Source organism: Homo sapiens, chromosome X (genome assembly GCF_000001405.40).
Source record: "Homo sapiens chromosome X, GRCh38.p14 Primary Assembly".
Taxonomy (NCBI): Eukaryota; Metazoa; Chordata; class Mammalia; order Primates; family Hominidae; genus Homo; species Homo sapiens.
Window position 1 is genome coordinate 59,792,616 of NC_000023.11, and position 16,484 is coordinate 59,809,099.

The 16,484-nt window shown below is 40.6% G+C and overlaps 1 annotated feature.

Moving 5' to 3' along the window:
• Positions 1-16,484: part of a centromere (Linear centromere model derived predominantly from reads generated in PMID: 17803354. This region does not represent an actual centromere sequence, as long-range ordering of repeats and unmapped WGS contigs is not provided by the model. For details of model production, see http://arxiv.org/abs/1307.0035.) that runs on past both edges of the window.

Sequence of the window (16,484 nt, forward strand, 5' to 3'; positions counted from 1 at the left end):
ATATGTGGACCTCTTTGAAGATTTCACTGGAAACGGGATCATCTTCACATAAGAACTAAACAGAAGCATTCTCGGAAACTACTTTGTGATGTTTGTATTCAACTCCCAGAGTTGAACTTTCCTTTTGAAAGAGCAGCTATGAAACACTCTTTTTCGGGAATCTGCAAGTGGACGTTTGGAGGGCTTTGAGGCCTGTGGTGGAAAAGGAAATATCTTCACTTAAAAACTACATAGAAGCATTCTCAGAAACTACTTTGTGAGGATGGCATTCAACTCATGGAGTTGAACAATCCTATTGATAGAGCAGATTGGAATCACTCTTTTTGTAGAATCTGCAAATGGAGATTTGGACTGCTTTGAGGCCTACGGTAGTATAGGAAGGAACTTCATATAAAAGGCAAACGGAAGCATTCTCAGAATATTCTTTGTGATGACGGAGTTTCACTCACAGAGCTGAACATGCCTTTTCATGGAGCAGTTTCCAAATACACTTTTGGTACAATCTGCAGGTGGATATTTGGAGCTCTCTGAGGATTTCGTTGGAAACGGGAATAATTTCCCATAACTAAACACAAACACGCTGAGAAAGTTCTTCATGATGAATGCATTTAACTCGCAGAGATGAACCTGCCTTTGAGAGTTCAGGTTCAAAACACTCTTTCTGTAGAATCTGCAAGTGGATATTTGGACCACTGGCTGGCCTTCATTCGAAACGGGTATATGTTCACGTAAAAACTAAAGAGAAGCGTTCTCAGAAACTTCTGAGTGATGAATGCATTCAAGTCACACAGTTGAACCCTCCTTTTGATTGAGCAGTTTTTAAACTGTCTTTTTGTAGAATCTGTAAGTGGATGCGTGGACCTCTTTGAAGATTTCTTTGGAAACGGGAATATTTCCACAGAAAAACTAAACTGAAGCATTCTCAGAAACTGCTTTGTGATGTTTGTGTTCGAGCCGCAGAGTTTAACATTGCTTTTCATAGAGCAGTTTTGAAATATTCTTTTGGCAGAATCTGCAAGTGGACATTTGGAGCGCTTTCAGGCCTGTGGTGGAAATGGCCTGAAAGCCTTTTCCTTTATCTTCACAGAAAGACGAGAGAGAAGCATTGTCAGAAACTTCTTTGTGATGATTGCATTCAACTCACAGAGTTGAAGATTCCTTTTGAAACAGCAGTTTCGAAACACTCTTTCTGTGGGATCCGCAAGGGGATATTTGGACCTCTTTGAAGATTTCGTTGGAAACGGGATAATCTTCACTTAAAGCTAAACGGAAGCATTCTCAGAAACTTCTTTGGGATGTTTGCATTCACCTCACAGAGTTGAACTTTCCCTTTGATAGCGCAGCTTTGACACACTTTTTCTACAATGTGCAAGTGGATATTTAGCGGGCTTGGAGGACTGTGTTGGAAAAGGAAATATCTTCTCCTAAAAACGACATAGAAGCATTCTCAGAAACTGCTCTGTGATGATTGCATTCAACTCCCAGAGTTGAACATTCCTTTTGATAGAGCAGTTTGCAAACACTCTTTTTGTAGAATCTGCAAGTGGAGATTTGGACCGCTTTGAGGCCTGTGGTAGTAAAGGAAAGAACTTCATATAAAAACTAGACGGTAGCACTCTCAGAAAATTCTTTGTGACGATGGAGTTTAACTCAGAGAGCTGAACATTCGTTATGATGGAGCAGTTTCCAAACACACGTTTTGTAGAATCTGCAAGGGGATATTTGGACCTCTCTGAGGATTTCGTTGGAAACGGGATCAACTTCCCATAACTGAACGGAAGCAAACTCAGAACATTCTTTGTGATGTTTGCATTCATCTCACAGAGTTGAACCTTCCTTTGATAGTTGAGGTTTGCATCACCCTTGTAGTAGAATCTGCAAGTGTATATTTTGACCACTTTGTAGCCTTCGTTTGAAACGTCTATATCTTCACATCAAACCTAGACAGAAGCATTCTCAGAAAGTTTTCTGCGATGACTGCATTCAACTCACAGAGTTGAACAATCCTTTTGATGGAGCAGTTTTGAAACCCTCTTTTTTTGGAATCTGCAAGGGGATATGTGGACCTCTTTGAAGATTTCACTGGAAACGGGATCATCTTCACATAAGAACTAAACAGAAGCATTCTCGGAAACTACTTTGTGATGTTTGTATTCAACTCCCAGAGTTGAACTTTCCTTTTGAAAGAGCAGCTATGAAACACTCTTTTTCGGGAATCTGCAAGTGGACGTTTGGAGGGCTTTGAGGCCTGTGGTGGAAAAGGAAATATCTTCACATAAAAACTACATAGAAGCATTCTCAGAAACTACTTTGTGAGGATGGCATTCAACTCATGGAGTTGAACAATCCTATTGATAGAGCAGATTGGAATCACTCTTTTTGTAGAATCTGCAAATGGAGATTTGGACTGCTTTGAGGCCTACGGTAGTATAGGAAGGAACTTCATATAAAAGGCAAACGGAAGCATTCTCAGAATATTCTTTGTGATGACGGAGTTTCACTCACAGAGCTGAACATGCCTTTTCATGGAGCAGTTTCCAAATACACTTTTGGTACAATCTGCAGGTGGATATTTGGAGCTCTCTGAGGATTTCGTTGGAAACGGGAATAATTTCCCATAACTAAACACAAACACGCTGAGAAAGTTCTTCATGATGAATGCATTTAACTCACAGAGATGAACCTGCCTTTGAGAGTTCAGGTTCAAAACACTCTTTCTGTAGAATCTGCAAGTGGATATTTGGACCACTGGCTGGCCTTCGTTCGAAACGGGTATATGTTCACGTAAAAACTAAAGAGAAGCGTTCTCAGAAACTTCTGAGTGATGATTGCATTCAAGTCACACAGTTGAACCCTCCTTTTGATTGAGCAGTTTTGAAACTGTCTTTTTGTAGAATCTGTAAGTGGATGCATGGACCTCTTTGAAGATTTCTTTGGAAACGGGAATATTTCCACAGAAAAACTAAACTGAAGCATTCTCAGAAACTGCTTTGTGATGTTTGTGTTCGAGCCAGAGAGTTTAACATTGCTTTTCATAGAGCAGTTTTGAAATATTCTTTTGGCAGAATCTGCAAGTGGACATTTGGAGCGCTTTCAGGCCTGTGGTGGAAAAGGCCTGAAAGCCTTTTCCTTTATCTTCACAGAAAGACGAGAGAGAAGCATTGTCAGAAACTTCTTTGTGATGATTGCATTCAACTCACAGAGTTGAAGATTCCTTTTGAAACAGCAGTTTCGAAACACTCTTTCTGTGGGATCCGCAAGGGGATATTTGGACCTCTTTGAAGGTTTCGTTGGAAACGGGATAATCTTCACCTAAAAGCTAAACGGAAGCATTCTCAGAAACTTCTTTGGGATGTTTGCATTCACCTCACAGAGTTGAACTTTCCCTTTGATAGCGCAGCTTTGACACACTTTTTCTACAATGTGCAAGTGGCTATTTAGCGGGCTTGGAGGACTGTGTTGGAAAAGGAAATATCTTCTCCTAAAAACGACATAGAAGCATTCTCAGAAACTGCTCTGTGATGATTGCATTCAACTCCCAGAGTTGAACATTCCTTTTGATAGAGCAGTTTGCAAACACTCTTTTTGTAGAATCTGCAAGTGGAGATTTGGACCGCTTTGAGGCCTGTGATAGTGAAGGAAAGAACTTCATATAAAAACCAGACGGTAGCACTCTCAGAAAATTCTTTGTGACGATGGAGTTTAACTCAGGGAGCTGAACATTCGTTATGATGGAGCAGTTTCCAAACACACGTTTTGTAGAATCTGCGAGGGGATATTTGGACCTCTCTGAGTATTTCGTTGGAAACGGGATCAACTTCCCATAACTGAACGGAAGCAAACTCAGAACATTCTTTGTGATGTTTGTATTCAACTCACAGAGTTGAACCTTCCTTTGATAGTTCAGGTTTGCAACACCCTTGTAGTAGAATCTGCAAGTGTATATTTTGACCACTTTGTAGCCTTCGTTTGAAACGTCTATATCTTCACATCAAACCTAGACAGAAGCATTCTCAGAAAGTTTTCTGCGATGACTGCATTCAACTCACAGAGTTGAACAATCCTTCTGATGGAGCAGTTTTGAAACCCTCTTTCTTTGGAATCTGCAAGGGGATATGTGGACCTCTTTGAAGATTTCACTGGAAACGGGATCATCTTCACATAAAAACTAAACAGAAGCATTCTCGGAAACTATTTTGTGATGTTTGTATTCAACTCCCAGAGTTGAACTTTCCTTTTGAAAGAGCAGCTATGAAACACTCTTTTTCGAGAATCTGCAAGTGGACGTTTGGAGGGCTTTGAGGCCTGTGGTGGAAAAGGAAATATCTTCACACAAAAACCAGATAGAAGCATTCTCAGAAACTACTTTGTGAGGATGGCATTCAACTCATGGAGTTGAACAATCCTATTGATAGAGCAGATTGGAATCACTCTTTTTGTAGAATCTGCAAATGGAGATTTGGACTGCTTTGAGGCCTACGGTAGTACAGGAAGGAACTTCATATAAAAGGCAAACGGAAGCATTCTCAGAATATTCTTTGTGATGATGGAGTTTCACTGACAGAGCTGAACATGCCTTTTGATGGAGCAGTTTCCAAATACACTTTTGGTAGAATCTGCAGGTGGATATTTGGAGCTCTCTGAGGATTTCGTTGGAAACGGGAATAATTTCCCATAACTAAACACAAACACTCTGAGAAAGTTCTTCATGATGAATGCATTTAACTCGCAGAGATGAACCTGCCTTTGAGAGTTCAGGTTCGAAACACTCTTTCTGTATAATCTGCAAGTGGATATTTGGACCACTGGGTGGCCTTCGTTCGAAACGGGTATATGTTCACGTAAAAACTAAAGAGAAGCATTCTCAGAAACTTCTGAGTGATGATTGCATTCAAGTCACACAGTTGAACCCTCCTTTTGATGGAGCAGTTTTGAAACTGTCTTTTTGTAGAATCTGTAAGTGGATACGTGGACCTCTTTGAAGATTTCTTTGGAAACGGGAATATTTCCACAGAAAAACTAAACTGAAACATTCTCAGAAACCGCTTTGTGATGTTTGTGTTCCAGCCACAGAGTTTAACATTGCTTTTCATAGAGCAGTTTTGAAATATTCTTTTCGCAGAATCTGCAAGTGGACATTTGGAGCGCTTTCAGGCCTGTGGTGGAAAAGGCCTGAAAGCCTTTTCCTTTATCTTCACAGAAAGACGAGAGAGAAGCATTGTCAGAAACTTCTTTGTGATGATTGCATTCAACTCACAGAGTTGAAGATTCCTTTTGAAACAGCAGTTTCGAAACACTCTTTCTGTGGGATCCGCAAGGGGATATTTGGACCTCTTTGAAGGTTTCGTTGGAAACGGGATAATCTTCACCTAAAAGCTAAACGGAAGCATTCTCAGAAACTTCTTTGGGATGTTTGCATTCACCTCACAGAGTTGAAATTTCCCTTTGATAGCGCAGCTTTGACACACTTTTTCTACAATGTGCAAGTGGCTATTTAGCGGGCTTGGAGGACTGTGTTGGAAAAGGAAATATCTTCTCCTAAAAACGACATAGAAGCATTCTCAGAAACTGCTCTGTGATGATTGCATTCAACTCCCAGAGTTGAACATTCCTTTTGATAGAGCAGTTTGCAAACACTCTTTTTGTAGAATCTGCAAGTGGAGATTTGGACCGCTTTGAGGCCTGTGGTAGTGAAGGAAAGAACTTCATATAAAAACCAGACGGTAGCACTCTCAGAAAATTCTTTGTGACGATGGAGTTTAACTCAGGGAGCTGAACATTCGTTATGATGGAGCAGTTTCCAAACACACGTTTTGTAGAATCTGCGAGGGGATATTTGGACCTCTCTGAGGATTTCGTTGGAAACGGGATCAACTTCCCATAACTGAACGGAAGCAAACTCAGAACATTCTTTGTGATGTTTGTATTCAACTCACAGAGTTGAACCTTCCTTTGATAGTTCAGGTTTGCAACACCCTTGTAGTAGAATCTGCAAGTGTATATTTTGACCACTTTGTAGCCTTCGTTTGAAACGTCTATATCTTCACATCAAACCTAGACAGAAGCATTCTCAGAAAGTTTTCTGCGATGACTGCATTCAACTCACAGAGTTGAACAATCCTCTGATGGAGCAGTTTTGAAACCCTCTTTCTTTGGAATCTGCAAGGGGATATGTGGACCTCTTTGAAGATTTCACTGGAAACGGGATCATCTTCACATAAAAACTAAACAGAAGCATTCTCGGAAACTATTTTGTGATGTTTGTATTCAACTCCCAGAGTTGAACTTTCCTTTTGAAAGAGCAGCTATGAAACACTCTTTTTCGAGAATCTGCAAGTGGACGTTTGGAGGGCTTTGAGGCCTGTGGTGGAAAAGGAAATATCTTCACACAAAAACCAGATAGAAGCATTCTCAGAAACTACTTTGTGAGGATGGCATTCAACTCATGGAGTTGAACAATCCTATTGATAGAGCAGATTGGAATCACTCTTTTTATAGAATCTGCAAATGGAGATTTGGACTGCTTTGAGGCCTACGGTAGTACAGGAAGGAACTTCATATAAAAGGCAAACGGAAGCATTCTCAGAATATTCTTTGTGATGATGGAGTTTCACTCACAGAGCTGAACATGCCTTTTGATGGAGCAGTTTCCAAATACACTTTTGGTAGAATCTGCAGGTGGATATTTGGAGCTCTCTGAGGATTTCGTTGGAAACGGGAATAATTTCCCATAACTAAACACAAACACTCTGAGAAAGTTCTTCATGATGAATGCATTTAACTCGCAGAGATGAACCTGCCTTTGAGAGTTCAGGTTCGAAACACTCTTTCTGTATAATCTGCAAGTGGATATTTGGACCACTGGGTGGCCTTCGTTCGAAACGGGTATATGTTCACGTAAAAACTAAAGAGAAGCATTCTCAGATACTTCTGAGTGATGATTGCATTCAAGTCACACGGTTGAACACTCCTTTTGATGGAGCAGTTTTGAAACTGTCTTTTTGTAGAATCTGTAAGTGGATACGTGGACCTCTTTGAAGATTTCTTTGGAAACGGGAATATTTCCACAGAAAAACTAAACTGAAGCATTCTCAGAAACCGCTTTGTGATGTTTGTGTTCGAGCCACAGAGTTTAACATTGCTTTTCATAGAGCAGTTTTGAAATATTCTTTTGGCAGAATCTGCAAGTGGACATTTGGAGCGCTTTCAGGCCTGTGGTGGCAAAGGCCTGAAAGCCTTTTCCTTTATCTTCACAGAAAGACGAGAGAGAAGCATTGTCAGAAACTTCTTTGTGATGATTGCATTCAACTCACAGAGTTGAAGATTCCTTTTGAAACAGCAGTTTCGAAACACTCTTTCTGTGGGATCCGCAAGGGGATATTTGGACCTCTTTGAAGGTTTCGTTGGAAACGGGATAATCTTCACCTAAAAGCTAAACGGAAGCATTCTCAGAAACTTCTTTGGGATGTTTGCATTCACCTCACAGAGTTGAACTTTCCCTTTGATAGCGCAGCTTTGACACACTTTTTCTACAATGTGCAAGTGGATATTTAGCGGGCTTGGAGGACTGTGTTGGAAAAGGAAATATCTTCTAAAAACGACATAGAAGCATTCTCAGAAACTGCTCTGTGATGATTGCATTCAACTCCCAGAGTTGAACATTCCTTTTGATAGAGCAGTTTGCAAACACTCTTTTTGTAGAATCTGCAAGTGGAGATTTGGACCGCTTTGAGGCCTGTGGTAGTGAAGGAAAGAGCTTCATATAAAAACCAGACGGTAGCACTCTCAGAAAATTCTTTGTGACGATGGAGTTTAACTCAGGGAGCTGAACATTCGTTATGATGGAGCAGTTTCCAAACACACGTTTTGTAGAATCTGCAAGGGGATATTTGGACCTCTCTGAGGATTTCGTTGGAAACGGGATCAACTTCCCATAACTGAACGGAAGCAAACTCAGAACATTCTTTGTGATGTTTGTATTCAACTCACAGAGTTGAACCTTCCTTTGATAGTTCAGGTTTGCAACACCCTTGTAGTAGAATCTGCAAGTGTATATTTTGACCACTTTGTAGCCTTCGTTTGAAACGTCTATATCTTCACATCAAACCTAGACAGAAGCATTCTCAGAAAGTTTTCTGCGATGACTGCATTCAACTCACAGAGTTGAACAATCCTTCTGATGGAGCAGTTTTGAAACCCTCTTTCTTTGGAATCTGCAAGGGGATATGTGGACCTCTTTGAAGATTTCACTGGAAACGGGATCATCTTCATATAAAAACTAAACAGAAGCATTCTCAGAAACTATTTTGTGATGTTTGCATTCAACTCCCAGAGTTGAACTTTCCTTTTGAAAGAGCAGCTATGAAACACTCTTTTTCGAGAATCTGCAAGTGGACGTTTGGAGGGCTTTGAGGCCTGTGGTGGAAAAGGAAATATCTTCACACAAAAACCAGATAGAAGCATTCTCAGAAACTACTTTGTGAGGATGGCATTCAACTCATGGAGTTGAACAATCCTATTGATAGAGCAGATTGGAATCACTCTTTTTGTAGAATCTGCAAATGGAGATTTGGACTGCTTTGAGGCCTACGGTAGTACAGGAAGGAACTTCATATAAAAGGCAAACGGAAGCATTCTCAGAATATTCTTTGTGATGATGGAGTTTCACTCACAGAGCTGAACATGCCTTTTGATGGAGCAGTTTCCAAATACACTTTTGGTAGAATCTGCAGGTGGATATTTGGAGCTCTCTGAGGATTTCTTTGGAAACGGGAATAATTTCCCATAACTAAACACAAATACTCTGAGAAAGTTCTTCATGATGAATGCATTTAACTCGCAGAGATGAACCTGCCTTTGAGAGTTCAGGTTCGAAACACTCTTTCTGTAGAATCTGCAAGTGGATATTTGGACCACTGGGTGGCCTTCGTTCGAAACGGGTATATGTTCACGTAAAAACTAAAGAGAAGCATTCTCAGAAACTTCTGAGTGATGATTGCATTCAAGTCACACAGTTGAACCCTCCTTTTGATGGAGCAGTTTTGAAACTGTCTTTTTGTAGAATCTGTAAGTGGATACGTGGACCTCTTTGAAGATTTCTTTGGAAACGGGAATATTTCCACAGAAAAACTAAACTGAAGCATTCTCAGAAACTGCTTTGTGATGTTTGTGTTCGAGCCACAGAGTTTAACATTGCTTTTCATAGAGCAGTTTTGAAATATTCTTTTCGCAGAATCTGCAAGTGGACATTTGGAGCGCTTTCAGGCCTGTGGTGGAAAAGGCCTGAAAGCCTTTTCCTTTATCTTCACAGAAAGACGAGAGAGAAGCATTGTCAGAAACTTCTTTGTGATGATTGCATTCAACTCACAGAGTTGAAGATTCCTTTTGAAACAGCAGTTTTGAAACACTCTTTCTGTGGGATCCCCAAGGGGATATTTGGACCTCTTTGAAGGTTTTGTTGGAAACGGGATAATCTTCACCTAAAAGCTAAACGGAAGCACTCTCAGAAACTTCTTTGGGATGTTTGCATTCACCTCTCAGAGTTGAACTTTCCCTTTGATAGCGCAGCTTTGACACACTTTTTCTACAATGTGCAAGTGGCTATTTAGCGGGCTTGGAGGACTGTGTTGGAAAAGGAAATATCTTCTCCTAAAAACGACATAGAAGCATTCTCAGAAACTGCTCTGTGATGATTGCATTCAACTCCCAGAGTTGAACATTCCTTTTGATAGAGCAGTTTGCAAACACTCTTTTTGTAGAATCTGCAAGTGGAGATTTGGACCGCTTTGAGGCCTGTGGTAGTGAAGGAAAGAACTTCATATAAAAACCAGACGGTAGCACTCTCAGAAAATTCTTTGTGACGATGGAGTTTAACTCAGGGAGCTGAACATTCGTTATGATGGAGCAGTTTCCAAACACACGTTTTGTAGAATCTGCGAGGGGATATTTGGACCTCTCTGAGGATTTCGTTGGAAACGGGATCAACTTCCCATAACTGAACGGAAGCAAACTCAGAACATTCTTTGTGATGTTTGTATTCAATTCACAGAGTTGAACCTTCCTTTGATAGTTCAGGTTCGCAACACCCTTGTAGTAGAATCTGCAAGTGTATATTTTGACCACTTTGTAGCCTTCGTTTGAAACGTCTATATCTTCACATCAAACCTAGACAGAAGCATTCTCAGAAAGTTTTCTGCGATGACTGCATTCAACTCACAGAGTTGAACAATCCTTCTGATGGAGCAGTTTTGAAACCCTCTTTCTTTGGAATCTGCAAGGGGATATGTGGACCTCTTTGAAGATTTCACTGGAAACGGGATCATCTTCACATAAAAACTAAACAGAAGCATTCTCGGAAACTATTTTGTGATGTTTGTATTCAACTCCCAGAGTTGAACTTTCCTTTTGAAAGAGTAGCTATGAAACACTCTTTTTCGAGAATCTGCAAGTGGACGTTTGGAGGGCTTTGAGGCCTGTGGTGGAAAAGGAAATATCTTCACACAAAAACCAGATAGAAGCATTCTCAGAAACGACTTTGTGAGGATGGCATTCAACTCATGGAGTTGAACAATCCTATTGATAGAGCAGATTGGAATCACTCTTTTTGTAGAATCTGCAAATGGAGATTTGGACTGCTTTGAGGCCTACGGTAGTACAGGAAGGAACTTCATATAAAAGGCAAACGGAAGCATTCTCAGAATATTCTTTGTGATGATGGAGTTTCACTGACAGAGCTGAACATGCCTTTTGATGGAGCAGTTTCCAAATACACTTTTGGTAGAATCTGCAGGTGGATATTTGGAGCTCTCTGAGGATTTCGTTGGAAACGGGAATAATTTCCCATAACTAAACACAAACACTCTGAGAAAGTTCTTCATGATGAATGCATTTAACTCGCAGAGATGAACCTGCCTTTGAGAGTTCAGGTTCGAAACACTCTTTCTGTAGAATCTGCAAGTGGATATTTGGACCACTGGCTGGCCTTCGTTCGAAACGGGTATATGTTCACGTAAAAACTAAAGAGAAGCATTCTCAGAAACTTCTGAGTGATGATTGCATTCAAGTCACACAGTTGAACCCTCCTTTTGATGGAGCAGTTTTGAAACTGTCTTTTTGTAGAATCTGTAAGTGGATGCGTGGACCTCTTTGAAGATTTCTTTGGAAACGGGAATATTTCCACAGAAAAACTAAACTGAAGCATTCTCAGAAACCGCTTTGTGATGTTTGTGTTCGAGCCGCAGAGTTTAACATTGCTTTTCATAGAGCAGTTTTGAAATATTCTTTTGGCAGAATCTGCAAGTGGACATTTGGAGCGCTTTCAGGCCTGTGGTGGAAAAGGCCTGAAAGCCTTTTCCTTTATCTTCACAGAAAGACGAGAGAGAAGCATTGTCAGAAACTTCTTTGTGATGATTGCATTCAACTCACAGAGTTGAAGATTCCTTTTGAAACAGCAGTTTCGAAACACTCTTTCTGTGGGATCCGCAAGGGGATATTTGGACCTCTTTGAAGGTTTCGTTGGAAACGGGATAATCTTCACCTAAAAGCTAAACGGAAGCATTCTCAGAAACTTCTTTGGGATGTTTGCATTCACCTCACAGAGTTGAACTTTCCCTTTGATAGCGCAGCTTTGACACACTTTTTCTACAATGTGCAAGTGGCTATTTAGCGGGCTTGGAGGACTGTGTTGGAAAAGGAAATATCTTCTCCTAAAAACGACATAGAAGCATTCTCAGAAACTGCTCTGTGATGATTGCATTCAACTCCCAGAGTTGAACATTCCTTTTGATAGAGCAGTTTGCAAACACTCTTTTTGTAGAATCTGCAAGTGGAGATTTGGACCGCTTTGAGGCCTGTGGTAGTGAAGGAAAGAACTTCATATAAAAACCAGACGGTAGCACTCTCAGAAAATTCTTTGTGACGATGGAGTTTAACTCAGGGAGCTGAACATTCGTTATGATGGAGCAGTTTCCAAACACACGTTTTGTAGAATCTGCGAGGGGATATTTGGACCTCTCTGAGGATTTCTTTGGAAACGGGATCAACTTCCCATAACTGAACGGAAGCAAACTCAGAACATTCTTTGTGATGTTTGTATTCAACTCACAGAGTTGAACCTTCCTTTGATAGTTCAGGTTTGCAACACCCTTGTAGTAGAATCTGCAAGTGTATATTTTGACCACTTTGTAGCCTTCGTTTGAAACGTCTATATCTTCACATCAAACCTAGACAGAAGCATTCTCAGAAAGTTTTCTGCGATGACTGCATTCAACTCACAGAGTTGAACAATCCTTCTGATGGAGCAGGTTTGAAACCCTCTTTCTTTGGAATCTGCAAGGGGATATGTGGACCTCTTTGAAGATTTCACTGGAAACGGGATCATCTTCACATAAAAACTAAACAGAAGCATTCTCGGAAACTACTTTGTGATGTTTGTATTCAACTCCCAGAGTTGAACTTTCCTTTTGAAAGAGCAGCTATGAAACACTCTTTTTCGAGAATCTGCAAGTGGACGTTTGGAGGGCTTTGAGGCCTGTGGTGGAAAAGGAAATATCTTCACATAAAAACTAGATAGAAGCATTCTCAGAAACGACATTGTGAGGATGGCATTCAACTCATGGAGTTGAACAATCCTATTGATAGAGGAGATTGGAATCACTCTTTTTGTAGAATCTGCAAATGGAGATTTGGACTGCTTTGAGGCCTACGGTAGTATAGGAAGGAACTTCATATAAAAGGCAAACGGAAGCATTCTCAGAATATTCTTTGTGATGATGGAGTTTCACTCACAGACCTGAACATGCCTTTTGATGGAGCAGTTTCCAAATACACTTTTGGTAGAATCAGCAGGTGGATATTTGGAGCTCTCTGAGGATTTCGTTGGAAACGGGAATAATTTCCCATAACTAAACACAAAACACTCTGAGAAAGTTCTTCATGATGAATGCATTTAACTCGCAGAGATGAACCTGCCTTTGAGAGTTCAGGTTCGAAACACTCTTTCTGTAGAATCTGCAAGTGGATATTTGTACCACTGGCTGGCCTTCGTTCGAAACGGGTATATGTTCACGTAAAAACTAAAGAGAAGCGTTCTCAGAAACTTCTGAGTGATGATTGCATTCAAGTCACACAGTTGAACCCTCCTTTTGATTGAGCAGTTTTGAAACTGTCTTTTTGTAGAATCTGTAAGTGGATGCGTGGACCTCTTTGAAGATTTCTTTGGAAACGGGAATATTTCCACAGAAAAACTAAACTGAAGCATTCTCAGAAACTGCTTTGTGATGTTTGTGTTCGAGCCACAGAGTTTAACATTGCTTTTCATAGAGCAGTTTTGAAATATTCTTTTGGCAGAATCTGCAAGTGGTCATTTGGAGCGCTTTCAGGCCTGTGGTGGAAAAGGCCTGAAAGCCTTTTCCTTTATCTTCACAGAAAGACGAGAGAGAAGCATTGTCAGAAACTTCTTTGTGATGATTGCATTCAACTCACAGAGTTGAAGATTCCTTTTGAAACAGCAGTTTCGAAACACTCTTTCTGTGGGATCCGCAAGGGGATATTTGGACCTCTTTGAAGATTTCGTTGGAAACGGGATAATCTTCACCTAAAAGCTAAACGGAAGCATTCTCAGAAACTTCTTTGGGATGTTTGCATTCACCTCACAGAGTTGAACTTTCCCTTTGATAGCGCAGCTTCGACACACTTTTTCTACAATGTGCAAGTGGCTATTTAGCGGGCTTGGAGGACTGTGTTGGAAAAGGAAATATCTTCTCCTAAAAACGACATAGAAGCATTCTCAGAAACTGCTCTGTGATGATTGCATTCAACTCCCAGAGTTGAACATTCCTTTTGATAGAGCAGTTTGCAAACACTGTTTTTGTAGAATCTGCAAGTGGAGATTTGGACCGCTTTGAGGCCTGTGGTAGTAAAGGAAAGAACTTCATATAAAAACCAGACGGTAGCACTCTCAGAAAATTCTTTGTGACGATGGAGTTTAACTCAGAGAGCTGAACATTCGTTATGATGGAGCAGTTTCCAAACACACGTTTTGTAGAATCTGCAAGGGGATATTTGGACCTCTCTGAGGATTTCGTTGGAAACGGGATCAACTTCCCATAACTGAACAGAAGCAAACTGAGAACATTCTTTGTGATGTTTGTATTCAACTCACAGAGTTGAACCTTCCTTTGATAGTTGAGGTTTGCAACACCCTTGTAGTAGAATCTGCAAGTGTATATTTTGACCACTTTGTAGCCTTCGTTTGAAACGTCTATATCTTCACCTCAAACCTAGACCGAAGCATTCTCAGAAAGTTTTCTGCGATGACTGCATTCAACTCACAGAGTTGAACAATCCTTTTGATGGAGCAGTTTTGAAACCCTCTTTCTTTGGAATCTGCAAGGGGATATGTGGACCTCTTTGAAGATTTCACTGGAAACGGGATCATCTTCACATAAGAACTAAACAGAAGCATTCTCGGAAACTACTTTGTGATGTTTGTATTCAACTCCCAGAGTTGAACTTTCCTTTTGAAAGAGCAGCTATGAAACACTCTTTTTCGAGAATCTGCAAGTGGACGTTTGGAGGGCTTTGAGGCCTGTGGTGGAAAAGGAAATATCTTCACATAAAAACTAGATAGAAGCATTCTCAGAAACGACTTTGTGAGGATGGCATTCAACTCATGGAGTTGAACAATCCTATTGATAGAGCAGATTGGAATCACTCTTTTTGTAGAATCTGCAAATGGAGATTTGGACTGCTTTGAGGCCTACGGTAGTATAGGAAGGAACTTCATATAAAAGGCAAACGGAAGCATTCTCAGAATATTCTTTGTGATGATGGAGTTTCACTCACAGAGCTGAACATGCCTTTTGATGGAGCAGTTTCCAAATACACTTTTGGTAGAATCTGCAGGTGGATATTTGGACCTCTCTGAGGATTTCGTTGGAAACGGGAATAATTTCCTATACCTAAACACAAACACTCTGAGAAAGTTCTTCATGATGAATGCATTGAACTCGCAGAGATGAACCTGCCTTTGAGAGTTCAGGTTCGAAACACTCTTTCTGTAGAATCTGCAAGTGGATATTTGGACCACTGTGTGGCCTTCGTTCGAAACGGGTATATGTTCACGTAAAAACTAAAGAGAAGCGTTCTCAGAAACTTCTGAGTGATGATTGCATTCAAGTCACACGGTTGAACCCTCCTTTTGATTGAGCAGTTTTGAAACTGTCTTTTTGTAGAATCTGTAAGTGGATGCGTGGACCTCTTTGAAGATTTCTTTTGAAACGGGAATATTTCCACAGAAAAACTAAACTGAAGCATTCTCAGAAACTGCTTTGTGATGTTTGTGTTCGAGCCACAGAGTTTAACATTGCTTTTCATAGAGCAGTTTTGAAATATTCTTTTGGCAGAATCTGCAAGTGGACATTTGGAGCGCTTTCAGGCCTGTGGTGGAAAAGGCCTGAAAGCCTTTTCCTTTATCTTCACAGGAAGACGAGAGAGAAGCATTGTCAGAAACTTCTTTGTGATGATTGCATTCAACTCACAGAGTTGAAGATTCCTTTTGAAACAGCAGTTTCGAAACACTCTTTCTGTGGGATCCACAAGGGGATATTTGGACCTCTTTGAAGGTTTCGTTGGAAACGGGATAATCTTCACCTAAAAGCTAAACGGAAGCACTCTCAGAAACTTCTTTGGGATGTTTGCATTCACCTCTCAGAGTTGAACTTTCCCTTTGATAGCGCAGCTTTGACACACTTTTTCTACAATGTGCAAGTGGCTATTTAGCGGGCTTGGAGGACTGTGTTGGAAAAGGAAATATCTTCTCCTAAAAACGACATAGAAGCATTCTCAGAAACTGCTCTGTGATGATTGCATTCAACTCCCAGAGTTGAACATTCCTTTTGATAGAGCAGTTTGCAAACACTCTTTTTGTAGAATCTGCAAGTGGAGATTTGGACCGCTTTGAGGCCTGTGGTAGTGAAGGAAAGAACTTCATATAAAAACCAGACGGTAGCACTATCAGAAAATTCTTTGTGACGATGGAGTTTAACTCAGGGAGCTGAACATTCGTTATGATGGAGCAGTTTCCAAACACACGTTTTGTAGAATCTGCGAGGGGATATTTGGACCTCTCTGAGGATTTCGTTGGAAACGGGATCAACTTCCCATAACTGAACGGAAGCAAACTCAGAACATTCTTTGTGATGTTTGTATTCAACTCACAGAGTTGAACCTTCCTTTGATAGTTCAGGTTTGCAACACCCTTGTAGTAGAATCTGCAAGTGTATATTTTGACCACTTTGTAGCTTTCGTTTGAAACGTCTATATCTTCACATCAAACCTAGACAGAAGCATTCTCAGAAAGTTTTCTGCGATGACTGCATTCAACTCACAGAGTTGAACAATCCTTTTGATGGAGCAGTTTTGAAACCCTCTTTCTTTGGAATCTGCAAGGGGATATGTGGACCTCTTTGAAGATTTCACTGGAA